Source organism: Homo sapiens, chromosome 8, assembly GCF_000001405.40.
Source record: "Homo sapiens chromosome 8, GRCh38.p14 Primary Assembly".
NCBI lineage: Eukaryota > Metazoa > Chordata > Mammalia > Primates > Hominidae > Homo > Homo sapiens.
Window position 1 is genome coordinate 58403515 of NC_000008.11, and position 15608 is coordinate 58419122.

Consider the following 15608-nt stretch of genomic DNA (forward strand, 5'->3'; position numbering starts at 1 on the left):
ATTTAAAATGACCCTGATTTCTAGCTGAAGCTAGATGCTGATCTAATAAATGATAGAATGAAAAAGAAGTGGGTTTGTACGACAAAAACAGAGGATTAGTTGGAGACACAAATGTTTTTGAGACATCCAAATGAAAATATCAGTTGAAAAGACAATTGGAAATGTAGATGTGGGGTAAGAGAGGGACCTGGGTATTGGAAAAAGAGATTTGGGAGTCTTAGATACAGTCCATTCTAGTTATTCGCAGATTCCATATTTGCATATTCACCTACTCACAAAATGTATTTGTGACCCCCAAACCAAATACATGCAGTGCTTTGTGATCAAACCCAGACACAAAGGAGCAAAATATTTCTGTTGCCCCATGAGCACATTCCCAGCTGAGCTCAAACAAGGTGACATTCTGCCTTTTTATTTCAGCTTTTATACTTTAAATAAGTGTCCTTGCACATTCTATTTAGTGCCATGTTTTTCACATGTTTGTGCTTTTTGTTGGTGATTTTGCTGTTTGAGATGGCCCCCAAGGGTAGTGCTGAAGTACTGTCTGGTGTTCCTAAGTACAAGAGGCTGTGATGTCCTTATGGAGAAAATGCATGTGCTAGATAAACTTCCTTCATGCAGGAGTTATAGTGCTGGTGGCTGTGAGTTCAATGTGAGTGGATCAATGATCATATTAAACATGGGGTCTTCAACAGAAATAGACATAAAACAAGGTTATGCATTGATCAGTTGATGAAAATGTAAGAAGTTCACAGGAACCTACCCTGTATTTTCCCTAGCAGCAATGATTCAGTATTCAATAACTCAGTGTTCTCAATGGCTTTAAGGAACATAACTACTGTAAATAATGAGAATTGACTGTGTGTAAATAGTAGGTATGAGAACAGAAGATATTGAACAGCGAAAGCATATACACAGTGAGCAAATAAGAGTGGCAAAGGCAGAGCCCTAAAGAACATCATTATTTAGAGGGTGGATAGAAGATAAAATGTTAGGAGAAGCTCAAAAGGAATGGTCAGGTAGGTAAGAAGACCAATGTTAAGCAGTATCATGAGGAAATTTCAGGAAAGGTAAAATCACAAGAGTCAGAGGCTGCAAAAAGCTCCCAGGAGACACGGAGATGGTATTTTTTAACCAAAAACACAAACAAAAAAAAAAACATATGCTTTTGAGTGTAATGGACCTGAATTTAAAATTTAGTTCTGCTACTTAATAGCTGAGTGACATAAGGAAATTCATCTTATTTCTCTGATCCTCAACTACTTCTGTAAGATGGAGACAATACCTATCCCAGAAAGTTGTTGTAGATTACATGAAATAATGTGCAATCCATGAAAATTACCAACTGTAAATATTCTATTTCTATTTTTAGAATGAGATAAAAATGTTTTAAAGGATGGAACAAGGCCATTATATATTACAGTGACCTCTGATCTTGTTCTCAGTGATGTCCAGCATATGTAAAATTACACAAACGTGAGTTTCATTTAGGTTGTGAAGTTGGAGCTGGATTTGGTTTAGAAGTGCAATATAAATAGGCCTGCATTTTATACTGTCTGTCCTGTCTGTATCTAATGAAGATATCTGTTGATAGATCTTCTTATTTCTTGACTTTCCATGAATGGAAAATGGGCTTTGGAGATAGTCAAATGTGGTTTGAGTTATGGATCTGATATGGTTTGGATCTGTGCCCCCACCCAAATCTCAGGTTGAAATGTAATCTCCTGTGCTAGAGGTGGGCCCTGGTGGGAGGTGATTGGATAACAGGGGCTGCTTCTAATGGTTTAGCACTATCCCCCCAGTGCTGTTCTTGTGATAGAGTTCTCACAAGATCTGTTTGTTTAAAAGTGTGTGGCACCTCCCCACACTTCCTCCTGCTCCAGACATGTAAGATGTACCTGCTTCTCTTCCCCTTTGCCTTCTGCCATGATTATAACTTTCCTGAGGCCTCTAGAAGCCAAGCAGAAGCTGTTCTGCTACCTCTATAGCCTGCAGAACAATGAGCCATTTAGCCCCTTTTCTTTATAAATTATCCAGTCTCGGATATTTCTTTATAGCAGCACAAGAACAGACCAATACAGGATCCCTACCACCTTCATTCACTCACTCATGCAAATAGTTATTAAAAGTACATATTATGGTTCCAGGTTCTGTGTTAAGGCACTAGAGATGAAGTCCTGGCCCACATACTCCATGAGCTTAGTCTAATGGAAGGAGAAAATAAGTATAATAAAATGTTTAACATTAAGTTTCCAGTTTAAGGACCCCATAATATATATGATAGGTCAAAATGGGTGTGAGAAAGATGCTCCTGGAGAATGTTTCAAAGACGATGAATGTCATGATTCTTGAACCTCCTCACCCACTTTGAGAACAGAAAATAGAGAATCAAGGAGAGTGAGGTATGTGGTCGTAGTTCTTTGAAGAAGAATGGGGAAAGATATCACTTTCATCACAAGCCAAAAGAAAGGAGACTTCAAGGCGACCACTTGAATGTTTGTTGATATTTTTGTTCACATTAACAAGATACACATAAGATGCAAGTGAAACACAAACACCCATAGTAACTCAACAACGTGAGCAACTTCTTCCGGAATCAGCTAGTAATTTTCAAATACTAGAGGAAAATTTACATTTTTTTTCTTTTGCTATTCACAGCATAACAGCTGCAGGCACAGCATACTTTTAAGTCTTATCTGCCTCGTAAACATTTTCTCCAACAGATCCTTAAATCTCCAGTGGGCAATCAACAAAACAAGAAATCGAACTTTTATTTATGGCGTTTACCAATTTCTGAGGTGGGAATACTTACACCATGGTAGATTTCAAGCTACTAACATGTTGTCACTGAATGCGAATTGGGAAGAGGTGTGCAATAGCATCTCCACCATATAGATCCAATAGATGTAAATCCCCTCAGGAGCATAGATAATAGCAAAATGTATTCAAATAACTAGGAAATTAGAGATTTGAATATTTATTGCATGAGTTTTTTGTATAATTTAGTTGTACATTTATATCATTTAATTTTTAATAATCCCTGTTTAACAACTGCCTTGCAAAATTCCTAAAAATTTAACAGTAGGCTCTCATAAGCCAGTGCACGGCAACTTCTGCACACCATTGACATTAAGTTCATTGAATATGTAGCCTTCACTATCCTATCTGTCACTCTGAAACTAGTAAAATATGGATTTTCCTCACTAACTATGAAATTGGTAGTAACTTTTGGGACAGCATCTCCTGTTCCTTTAGTCCAGTGGATACTTTTTAGTCTTAATCTTTCTTGATTATCTGTAGTAAATGACATCATTGGTATGCCTGTTGAAACTGCCTCATCACCAGTTTTTCCAGTCTCTTGTGTTCCTCTCACCTCTCTATTACTCAGGGCTACATTGAAAGCTTTCCTTTTTCCACTGAGTTCTTCAATGTTGGTGTTTGTGAGTGTTCTTAATCCTCGAATCTTCTCACATTTCACACTGCTCCTGCGAAGCCTTGTCTACTCTATCATTTACATGCAGTCAACACCCAAATCTGTATGTCCAAACCAAAATTCTTGCCTAATCTTCTAATCTTTATACCCACATTTGCAATTGCTCCATGATGCATTTTCACCAGAGTGTTCCACATACATTTTGAACTCAAAATGTCCATAACAAACTTGTTTATTTCCTTTGAAATTTGTTTCCCCCTTTCAACTCAATAATTTACGGGTAGCACCATTTGCCAAATCACCTAGCCAAATCCCCAGATGTCATTTTTTATTCCTCTTTTTTTCATGTATTCCACATTGAAGACTCCAGCTCCTGTCGGTTCTGACGTTAATATTTCTACCAAGTATTGCTTCTTTCTGTTCTCACTGCCACTGATAAAAATTGAGTCCTAATTACTTCCCATTGTTGTAATAATCTATTTCCTAACTTTGACTCATCATACACATTGATGCATCTGTAATCTTTGTAAATCACAAATCCTTTAATGGCTCCCAGTTGCCTTAGAGCAGTGTCTCTCAAACATAGCTGCACAACAGAATCAGCTGAGCAAGGATTTTGTTCAATCAAGTTTATAAATGAATAATTTACATATAATAAAATGCATGCATTTTAAGTGTATACAGTGTGCTTTTAACAAACGTATTAATACATACCTGTGTAACTACCACCACAATCAAGTTATAAAACACTTCTGTCACCTCAAAAAGTTCCTACATGTCCTACAATTGGGGAACTGAATCCTTACTCCAAAAGACAGCCCCAAGCTACCACCAGCTTTTAGTCATTAAAGGTGTTGCCTGTTCTAAAATTTCATATAAATTAAATCAGACAATATTTACTCTTTCGCACCTGGCTTTTTTTACCCAAGATAATATCTTTGAGATTCATTCAAGACATGTGAATCCATAACTTCTTCCTTTTTACTATTGAGTAGTATTCCATTGTATGATTTATCAAAATTGTATCCATTCATTGGCTGATGGACATTTGGATTGTTTCCAGTTTACAGGCTATTACAGATAAAGCTTCTATGAACATTTGAGTTGAAATACTTTATAAATGTATACTTATATCCCTCTTGGGTCAATATTTAAGAGTAGAATTGCTGGTTCTTATGATAATGGAATATTTAACATTAGAAGAAACTGACAACCTCTTTTCCAAAGTGGCTGTACCATTCTAGGACCCACTAGCAGTGTATGAGAGTTCCATGCAGAAAGCCAAGGCAACAGCTACTCGGGAGGCTGAGGTGGGAGGATTGCTCTAACTAGACAGATTGAGGCTGCAGTGAGGCGTGATTGCACCACTGTACTCCAGCCTGGACAACAGAGAGAAACCCTATCTCAAAAAATAAATAAATAAAAATAAAGAGCCTGGGCAAATATAGTCACCTTGTTCGTTTTCCTTCTTTCAGATATCACAGACCTGTACTGCCTGTTGCTCAATGCCTTAAAACTGTTGTTTTTAGTTGTTAAGAGTGGGAGGACAAGTCCAACATCAGGTATACTGTCATGGCCAGCAGCAAAATCCACTTTGCGAACATCTTAAGAAATATGATGCCTGACTCCCACTCTATACCAATTATTAATAAATCTGAGTACCTGGAGACGAGAGAGAAGAGGTGATTCTAATGTACAAGAATGTTAGAGAATCACTGGCTCAGAGGATTCCATCCCCAACCTAAGGCAAGATCCTTCAGAATCTGTCTCAAGCCTCCATTCTACATCTGTCTCCTCCCCACCATTCCATAACCATCTTTTGTCATTTCTAAGTTGCAACCATATAGCAATTTGCTGACATGAATATAATATTTTAAATATCAGTGTCTTTGTAAATATCTTTGCCTTTACCAAGATTCTTTCTGGTCTAATACTTCTACTGGAAGTACTTTCCTTCAACACTCAGCTAAAATGTCTTTGGCTCTATGAGGCATTTCTTGTTAAAGAGCCCGAGATTTCTAGGGCAGAATCTGATGTTAAGAGAGTATCAGGAAAACAAGTGCAGTTTAGTATTTGGCACTGCCATTTACTACAGGGTGAAGTTAGTCTTCATCATCTGGTTTCCTCGGGTATAACAAGATAATCATAACTACCTGGTAGAGGGATAAATGAAATTACACAGGGAATGCACAGCTGGGGGAGAAAATTTTCTCCTTTACTCTCTCAGAGTCTCCAGCTGGGTCCAAGAATTAAACGGACACAAAACAGATTAACAGGGAAAAAGCATACAAATTTTATTTAATAAAACTTTACGTATAAGTGGGTGTCCTCACAGGAAAATAAACACCCGAAGAAGTGGCTAGGCCTAAGTGCTTATATACTAGGTTGAACAAAGAGAGGCAATCGTGGAAGAGTATCTAGGAAGATACTGGTTAGTTTAACAATATCTGTACAGATGTTTCTCGGCCTCAACTCCCCTTCTCTGGTGATGAGTATCTTTCCTCTTGGTATAGGGAGGGCATCTATCACATGGTAGTTTCTTTTCCTGCTTTCAGGAAGAAAAGGTCAGAGTGCTCTTCTTGCACCTGCTGTTTATCAAATGCTTTTTTTTGTTTTTTGTTTTTTGTTTTTAAGACGGAGTCTCTCTGTGACACCCAGGCTGAAGTGCAATGGTGCATCTCTGCTCACTGCAACCTCTGCTTCCCGGGTTCAAGCAATTCACCTGTCTCAGCCTCCCAAGTAGCTGGGACTACAGGCACGCGCCACCACGCCCAGCTAATTTTTGTATTTTTAGTAGAGACAGGATTTCACCACGTTGGCCAGGCTGGTCTGAAACTCCTGACCTCAAGTGATCCGTCTGCCTCGGCCTCCCAAAGAGTTGGGATTACAGGCGTCAGCCACGACGCCCAGCCTCAAATGCCTTTATACATCAAAACGATCAGTATGCCAAAGCTCGGGCGGCAAGCTGTCGACTCCAGCACCTAGCATGGTGCACACAGCAGATACCAACGGAGTATTTCCCCTCACATGGCTCACATTTCCTTTGTAACCCTCCCAAGCAAAGCTCTACTGCAAGCTGCATCTTACCCGTTTACATGTCTCTTTTCCCTACTAGACTGAGTTTCATAATGACTGGGACTATTTCTTTTTACCTTTGCATCCCTTGGGCATAAAAGTGCCTAGGAGGCCAGGCGCAGTGGCTCACGCCTGTAATCCCAGCACTTTGGGAGGCCGAGGTGGGCAGATCATGAGGTCAGGAGATCAAGACCATCCTGGCCAACATGGTGAAACCCCGTCTTTACTAAAAATACAAAAGTTAGCCGGGCATGGCGGCACGCACCTGTAGTCCAAGCTACTCGGGAGGCTGAGGCAGGAGAATTGCTTGAACCCGGGAGGTGGAGGCTGCAGTGAGCCGAGGTCGCGCCACTGCACTCCAGCTTGGGCGACAGAGCGAGGCTCCGTCTCAAAAACAAAAAGTGCCTAGGATAAGAAGACCAGAGTCTAAATCAATTTCAGTTGAATGACGAGGGCTTGATAGTCTCGAGATCTGCTTTTTTTCTTTTTTGAGACGGATCCTCCCTGTGTCGCCAGGCTGGAGTGCAGTGGCGCGATCTCGGCTCACTGCAACCTCCGACTCCCTGATTCAAGCGATTCTCCTGCCTCAGTCTCCCCAGTAGCTCGGACTACAGGCACGCTCCGCCACGCCCAGCTAATTTTTGTGTATATATATATATATATATGTGTATATATATGTATATATATGTGTATATATATATGTGTGTGTATATATGTGTATATATATATGTGTGTGTATATATATATATATATATATATATATATATATTTTTTTTTTTAGTAGAGAAGGGGTTTCACCATGTTGGCCAGGATGGTCTCGATCACCTCGTCCGCCTCGGCCTCCCAAAGTGCTGGGACTACAGGCGTGAGCCACAGGCCCGGCAGAGTTCTGCTTTTAGCAAATTATTCCAAGCACTTTTTACGGTGTTTTTCACTCTCAGTGCTAATTCACGCTGTGGTGACGATGTACCATCCAATCCTTGATAGGAAAGATCAGAGAATCTGACCAAGACTAGATGGAGAGGTTGCAATTTTTCATCAGATGAAAAATCCAGAGGATGTTTTCATTGTTGAGCTAAATGAATCTGCAAGTCTATGCTGCCCTCTAGGGCGGCCTACAGTGCCTTTAGGCGAGTAGCAGGAGCAACACAAAACTTAACAGAGGTTTCCCTGCGGAGAAACTCCCTTTAAGAAAAAAGGAGAAACCAAAAAGGTGGGCCAGCACCGGAAGCGGGGGCGCGGGTTCGGGTAGCGGGGACGCGCACGCACCTTGCGCGTCTTCGCCCCTCCTGCGGTTGCCAGGCAACCGGCCCCGGAAGTTGCGGCAGGTGCGTCCGCAGCGGGCGCCGCTAGCCAGCGGAAGATGGCGGAGGGCGGAGGCCCTGAGCCCGGCGAGCAGGAGAGGAGGTCTTCCGGGCCGCGGCCTCCGAGCGCGCGGGATTTGCAGGTGAGGCGAGGAGCCGGGGGAGGGAGCGCGGCGGTGGACGCGGGCTGGTGACGGCGCGGGCTGGTGCGAGTTGGAGGCCACCTCTGGCCTCGGCGGAGCCTTTCCCCGACCCCGTCTGGGGATAGAATCCGGCGCCCGGTCTCCCGATGTCGGGTCTTGACACTGTGGTGGTCGTGAACACAAGTGCCCAAGCCTCCAGCGCTGGTGCTTTGTCTCCCTTCCACCCCACGTATGATGTAAAAATAGCTATTCGTTTAGAATGACATTTTGCGGGGTCAGTTGGTCGGTTCACGGGTTGATGCTTCCTTCTTGAGACTTACTCCAGAAGAAAGGTTACTGTGGCCGCAGGGAAGTAGACAGTCACCTGAACAGTAATGATACGTGATTTGTTCTTTTTTGTCTTGGATGCTATTTCTGACTTGCTTACTTAAATATAAAAATGGTTCCATTTTATCAGGTAGGTTTTTCTTTTAAAGGGGTGAAGGAAAGCGATGCACTCTATGCCCATACAGCCTAGTTGTCTAAGCTGTGGTCTTTAAAACATTGCACTGAAGAAACTGGGAAATAAAATTTCGTAATGTTGTGTAGGACACTAGTATTAGTTAGCTAAATAGTAGCGCACCAAATCCCGTTTTATCAGATACTAACGCCACTTTTCTCATTTTAGGCGTTTTTGTGTCTCATTATAAGATTATTGATAAAAATTTGACAAGTAAATATCAGTAAGGAGATACTAAGGAGAATCTTGGTAGAACAGTTTTACTGTATTACTTTACAACCACACTTCATTCTAATGTGAACAAACCACCATCCATTGTAACATACTGCTGAGCTTTGCGAATGTGGAAATAAGGACATCAAATCCTTAGTCGGTGCTGAACTCTATTGATGGGTAGGTATGTAAGTGTAAAAGACAGTTCTACCTTTTGGAAGCCTACAGATTTCTTCGGAGAAATAGGGTATGAATACTTAGCATAACATTTTAAGATGGAGTATGATTGGGTGCCAAAATAAGCAGTGCATAAAGCGAAGAATTTGGAGGCTGGAGAGATCAGTGTAACATTAGGAGGTGAACTTAATGTAGAATAGTTCCAGCTCCCATAGTTGGTTCAGTAGTAGTAAACAGTATCAAGGGATAGGAAGCTATTGTGTACCTCATCTTTCCTATTATAAACCCACATCACTAAGAGGCAGCATGGAGTTAGTAGTCCCACCAATTTTGGTTTGCCTCTTAGTCCTGCTACTTAGTAGTTTTGTGAACTTAGGAGAAATGTCTTAACCTGTCTGATCCTGTGTCTTCATTTGTAAACTGAGGAAGGTCAGGGTGCTGGTGGTGGTGTAAGGATTAAATAATGTTATAAAGGGCCTATGCAAAATTCCTACATTATCCTGGCTCAGTTGTTGCTGGGCAAATATTTGATTCCTTTTTCCTCAGGAGAAAGATGCTATAACTTTCCCTGGCTAGTCAATTCTAATATCATTAAAGTTAATAGAGTGTGTAACTTAATGTCCTTTCCCTAATTTAAATCCATTTCTTCTTTTTATGTGAAAAGTGAGAACAGCTTGCTTAATGACCACCTGATTCTTGGCAAATTGTTTGCAGTCTTAATCCAGTGGATCAAAGTACGATTAATGTTTGGAGATACTCTGGTAGATGTTGCTAATTGTGAGAATGCCTTCATTTCCACCCTAAGTTATGATGGGGATTTTTTTTTTCATCTCCTGTCTACTTGTTGTAGGTTAGGGCAGTAGGAAGATAACTGATTTCTTTATGAATGTGATTTGGTGTATCAAGTACAGTATCTAAGTATTGATAATCTTTCCTTTAGAACTTAATATGAATGTGAAGAACTTGCAAAGAAACTTGAAAACAGCCAAAGGGATGGCATATCAAGAAATAAAGTATGTATCAAAAGTTTAAAAGAATTAAATAATGTTCTTCCCAAATGGTACCTTGGATATTGATTATTTATAGATTATCTTGTTACCGTTTAATCTAGACATGCTTTTCTTAAGAGTTACGCAGTTCGTGCAGCTTTCAGTAGATATTTCTTACTTCCCTAACAGCTTGCTCTAAGAGTCTTTCAGAGTGAGTAAAGGGGCAACATATTACCAATTGGAACAAGCAGAATTACCCCTGAGTAAGTGTATCTTAGCTGCCATGCAGTGTAGGGTTTGTCAGCATCTGAATCAGGAGGGAGTGTTCCAGGTACCACCAGAGAAAAGCTGCATAGTTGCTTCCCAAAAGGCCTCCCAGCCCTGGGAGCCCCCAGGTTACAAACTGCAGACTCGGAAATGTTTTTTTGCATATCAGAGTAGATTTTCATAGCTCCCTTCATCCCCCTCAAATAAGGAGATGGTCATGGGGAAAGTTAGGGGTGGGATTGTTAGTGGCAAAACTAAGCCCAAAACCTCACCAGTGTTCAATAGTATTTCTGAATTGCTTTCTCTTCTGGTGTCCCTCAGCCCGCCACACACATGTTCATTAAGGTATTTAGTTGTATACTCTGTCCCAGTTTTCCTCCACATATTATCTGTTTCTACATAGGTTGGACGGGGAGGGAGTGGGAACAGGGATAACTTCAGTATTGTTAGGGTTAGGATTGGATTTGTTAGGATGGACTCAATAGTGGGTACTATAAATGAGAAGAATTAAAATGTCTGATAGCTGTTCTGATAACTGTGTTGCCACAAGTACCCTAATCATATTGAATGTCATTATTCTGTATCGTTGATTCTCTAGTATGCATCTGTGACCTGGAAGGCTTGTCAGAGATTGCTGGGCCCTACCCCAGAGTGTGATTCATTGGTTCTAGAGTAGAGTTTAAGCATATGCATTTCCTAGAAGTTCCCAGGTGTCTGTATAATAATCATTTATTACAGCGTCTAGAATTGGTTACTCTAAGGCTGAGAATTCCAATACTTTTAATATTTTGCTATATACTTTATTTTCTCACCCGATTCCTTTGCTTTCAGGTTTCAAGTTCTTCACATTTCAAATTCTAGAGGAAAGATTATCAATACTTTACTTACATACTTTATCCTCTGCATATTATTGAAACATTTTCTTAATTACGTTTTGAGATTTTTTTGTTGTGTTAGTTTTGACCAGTACTTCAATTAATATTTATCAATTTAAATTATCATTTCCTCTTTTGATGTAATGTCATCTATGTTAAATAATATAAATTAAATTTCTTTGTAGTATTTACTAATGAACTCATGCCATATGATGCCATATGGCATCAACTCCCTCTAAATATTACTCATTTTCTTCTAAGTTTTTAATGATGTACCGTTAATAACTAGGATCTTTCAGCCAGGTAGACTCTTTAATATCATTTTCCTCATATTCCTCTTTTCTTAATGTATGTTCCACATTCCATGGGGCTAGTGGCATTTTTGCTTTTTTAATTTATGTCACCAAAGAAAATTGTTATTTGATTGGAAGCATTTATTCAAATCTTGTTAAAGCAAAAAGTGTTTAACAAATATAACCCCAATTTAAAATACATCTATCTATATCTATTTCTGATTCATTTTCTATTATGTTCTTTATATAATTCAACGTCAATTTGTTGCCTTTTAGGTACAATATTAGAAACAATTTGAGAAACTTAAAATCTAGTTGGGGAAATAAAACAGCAAAAGTACACAAGTAATGACAACATAATGCTTAATATGAATGTCATTGGGGGTATTACGTGCTATGAGTATTTAGAAAAAAAGATATTAAGAAGATTAGAAAAGGTTTTGTGAAGGAGAGCTGAAATGGGCCTTTGAAATACAGATGACATTTTCATTGATGAGAATAGGAATATCATAAAAGTAATTCATAAAGCTGACATAATGAGCTTAGAAGGAAATCCATAAAATAATACTACTTTAAAGAAATTTCAGGGAGGTAAAATTTCTGAAAACTTTAGACCCTAGTCATCAGACTGTGTATGTGCATGTCTGTCTCTCTCTCCTCTATCATTTGTTTGTTTTTTGTTTTGTGTTTTTGGAGGGGATGGAGTAGTAAAGGACCATAAGGAGATATAACACTGTAGGAAGAAAAAAAAATCTTGGGGAAAATGAAACACTGATACAATCATTACTAAACATTTAAGAATAATATCTTCTAGTGATGGAACACATGCTTTGTGCTTTCCATACATTATTTAATCCTTCAAATGACTACGGTGATTTTTTATAGGCATTTGAAGATGTGGTAACTAAGGCTCAGAGAAATTAAATAATTTGCCCAAGATCACACAGGAAGTGCCTAAGTTACGATTTGAATTCAGTCCTTTTAGATTACCAAACACTTTTATAATTCAGATTTCTAGCAAAGTTGCCATTGTACAAATATGAATGTTACTGAATGTGGGAGGGTAGGGGTAAAAAAATTAGAAGTCTTTCATTTTGTTTTATTTGTGTATATTTTAAAAGTTGACTAATAGAATTTTCAAAGAATTAACATTGCCCCAATGCCCTGTTCTTCTTGGAGGTAGTTTTCATATCATTTGTGTGTCTAAAAGGAGCATTTTAATCTGTTTTGTTATGATTTTGGGTTTTTTTGTTTGTTTGTTTTTTGGGTTTTTTTTGAAAAAAACAAAAAAAAAAACCGGAGATTATGGTCATGCCAATTATAATTGAATAGCCACAGGAGCATTAAAGAAAGTTGTTGAGTTGTTGTCCAAAGATGTCAAAAGTCAGAAAAAATTCTATACAATACTGAAATATTGGATTACTTTTTAAAATTCCATTTTAAGAACAAATATAATTTTATTTCATTTTGAAATAAACTATCCAGCCAATATCTAGAATGTATAATTTGGTAATATTACTTTCTAAATGGTATATAAACCATATATAATTTATGGTCTTGTTTGTTCAGAAACTCATTTTCCTAAACACGATGAAATTTATAAGTTTGGTAGACTTTTAAATAGAATACTTCTGAAATTGTTTTATATGCTTGGAGTTTGAAAACTTGAATAGCTGAATGAAACTATTTTATGAGATCTGATGGAAGAAGCTGACGTTAGTGTGAACATCTTCAGGAATTCTTAAAAGAATTGCACAAGAATTTTAGGTTTAAATTTGAAAATGGTTTGTTACCTAAAACAGATTTTGACACTGTTCAGTAGTTAATTGAAAATAATCAAGTAATTATTATAACTTAAAGTTATTCTAATAGATGTGGCATTTTGGTTAGTTCTATATAATGAGATGCAGTAAGTTTATTTCAGAAAGGAATCATCTGAAGCAGCAGCTTTTTTCATGAAAAGTCTTTACCACTCAATTTTAAGTTAGTGTTCTATACATAACTTCTAGTTGTATGGAAGAGGTTATTCCTAGTGTTATACTTTGTAACAAGCCTGTTATTATGTAGTTGGCCTTGGCAGAATTGTATGAAGATGAAGTGAAGTGCAAATCTTCCAAGTCTAATAGACCTAAAGCCACAGTCTTCAAGAGCCCACGGACACCACCTCAACGGTAAGTTTTATTTTGTTTTGTTGTAAAAAGAAATTATAATCCTTTCTAAAAATTTACTAACTTCAAATTATTTTAAATGGCCTTCTTCAAGGTTTCTTCAATAATTTTTAAAAATTATTATTCCAAGATCGAGGCAGATTTGGATAAAAAATAGAAATGATTAATATCATTTAGGTACTATTAAAACTTTTACAATCAGAAAGCCAAAAGAAACTTACGGAAAAATTACCTTAAAATACCTAATATTTTGGTAGATATCATATGAAATTATATCCTGAATACTATTTTTCTTGGGCACAATGGTTCTTTAATATTTTTTGAGTCATAGGACTCATTAAGGGTCTGATGAAAGCTATAGAATTCTCCTCTCAAAACAACTTTCATGTGCAAGTTTGTCATTCGTTTTTAAGGATATGTGTGTTTCTTGAAGCCACTCCATGGAGCCTCTGCAGGTCTTTTGTCCTCCATTTAAGAATCTATGATTTTTGAAGTCTGTCTCTTCTTCCTTTGGGTGATGATTCCTCTAATGTGTGACCTCCTAAATAGTATTTGTTGTTATTAAAATCCCTGAAGTATAAAAACAACCAACTGTGAAGACTTAAGAGATGAGAACCAGGTGTCTTTTATTGCTGTGAGTTTTCTTGTTGCCAGGAATATTTTCATTAACATCTTTTTAGTACTGTAAATACCATCCCTGGGGAAGAAACGTCAGTTTTCCCATTATATCTTATTCTCAGAAAGTCTATTTTATAAGTTTTCAGTTCATCAAAAAGCAAGACTAGTAGAGTAAATACTGTGTTTACTTCACCTATATTCACCAAGTTGGTACAATGTTACATTGAACTTGTGCACGCATGTATTCTCTCTCTCTTTTTTACTCAACTATTTGAAAGGAAATTGTAGCCATCATGACACTTCACCTCTAGATACTTCAGCATGAGTCTCCCGAGAAGAAGCACACACTTGCAAAATTGATAACACCTTACAAAATTAATAGTAATTCAGGCGGGGAGTGGTGGCTTATGCCTGTAATCCCAGCACTTTAGGTGGGCCAAGGTGGGCAGATCACTTGAGGTCAGGAGTTCAAGACCAGCCTGGCCAACATGGCAAAACCCCATCTCTCCTAAAAATACAGAAATTAGCTGGGCATGGTGGCACGAGCCTATAATTCCAGCTACTTGGGAGGCTGAGGCACAAGAATCGCCTGATCTTGGGAGGCAGAAGTTGCAGAGAGCCGAGATGGCGCGACTGCACTCCAGCCTGAATGATGGAGAAGGACTCTGTCTCCAAAAAAAAAAAAAAAAAAAAAAAAATTAATAGTAATTCTGTGATGCCATTTAATATATAGTTAGTAGTCACATATCTCTTATAGCTTTTTCTTTGGATTTAGGATTCAACTGAGGACATTGCATTGCATTTAATTATTCCTGTTTTGAATTTCTGAATACACAGAACTCTTCCCACCTTTTTATTGTTGTTTTTAGCTCAGCTACATAATCTAAAATTTATTATGTTGACTTTTTTAGAGAGTCTAGGCCAGATGTCTTATAAAATGTCTAACATTGTAGATCACTGTTTCCTCATGATTAGATTTTTATTAGAATTTTTGTCGGGTATGCTAGATAAGTGATATTGTCTGCTATTTATTACATGACAACAGGAGTCATAATTTCAGGATTTTCCACCATTAGTGATATGTTCATTTGGTTAAGGTGCTGACCACCACAGCACTCCATTGTAAGATACTGTGTGTCCTTTGTAATCAGCAGTTTGGTATCTTGACACTAGTTGAACATCCTATTCTTTCATTTAATTCTTACCTTTATACATATAAAATACTGTATTTTTAGCTGCTTCTTTAATTTGTATATTCTCCCAAGTCTTGAAAGTACTTAATATGTATCTCTGTACTTGCATTTTACTCACTATTTGGCCACTGTTTCCCCAGTTTGAACATAAGTTGAATGACTTAATATTTGAGTTCTTATCATAAGATTACTGTATTAATATTTTCCTTGCTATTCAAATATAATCATTAAGATATTTCAGTGAAGGGTTTTCTTTTATGCTGTCTGAAACAATGCTGTGATTAATAGGTATAATTCAGTAATCCAGTTTGTAAGGATTTTGTGCCTCACATTTGATTTCTAGAATAATTTATCTATCAAA

General features: G+C 38.0%; 1 protein-coding gene across 4 annotated transcripts in view, besides 3 other annotated features; it reads left to right on the top strand.

The window, feature by feature from the left end:
- Positions 7843-7902: an enhancer, noted in NCBI's record as "active region_27408". NCBI's record gives its function as "activates an Ori minimal core promoter by ATAC-STARR-seq in GM12878 lymphoblastoid cells {active_cell/tissue: GM12878}" and the evidence as "EXISTENCE:reporter gene assay evidence [ECO:0000049][PMID:35858748]".
- The window catches only part of UBXN2B (UBX domain protein 2B), a 40141-nt gene continuing 32379 nt past the window's right edge, over positions 7847-15608 (top strand). For all 4 annotated transcript variants that reach the window (NR_156456.1, NM_001077619.2, NM_001363181.1 and 1 more), the window contains exons 1-2: positions 7847-7955; positions 13336-13439. Coding sequence is in view for 3 of the 4 variants with exons in the window: in NM_001077619.2 (NP_001071087.1) it covers positions 7872-7955; positions 13336-13439 (188 nt within the window). In the remaining variant the exon portion in view is untranslated. The remainder of the gene's footprint in view (positions 7956-13335; positions 13440-15608) is intronic.
- Positions 7913-7962: an enhancer, noted in NCBI's record as "active region_27409". NCBI's record gives its function as "activates an Ori minimal core promoter by ATAC-STARR-seq in GM12878 lymphoblastoid cells {active_cell/tissue: GM12878}" and the evidence as "EXISTENCE:reporter gene assay evidence [ECO:0000049][PMID:35858748]".
- Positions 8243-8292: an enhancer, noted in NCBI's record as "active region_27410". NCBI's record gives its function as "activates an Ori minimal core promoter by ATAC-STARR-seq in GM12878 lymphoblastoid cells {active_cell/tissue: GM12878}" and the evidence as "EXISTENCE:reporter gene assay evidence [ECO:0000049][PMID:35858748]".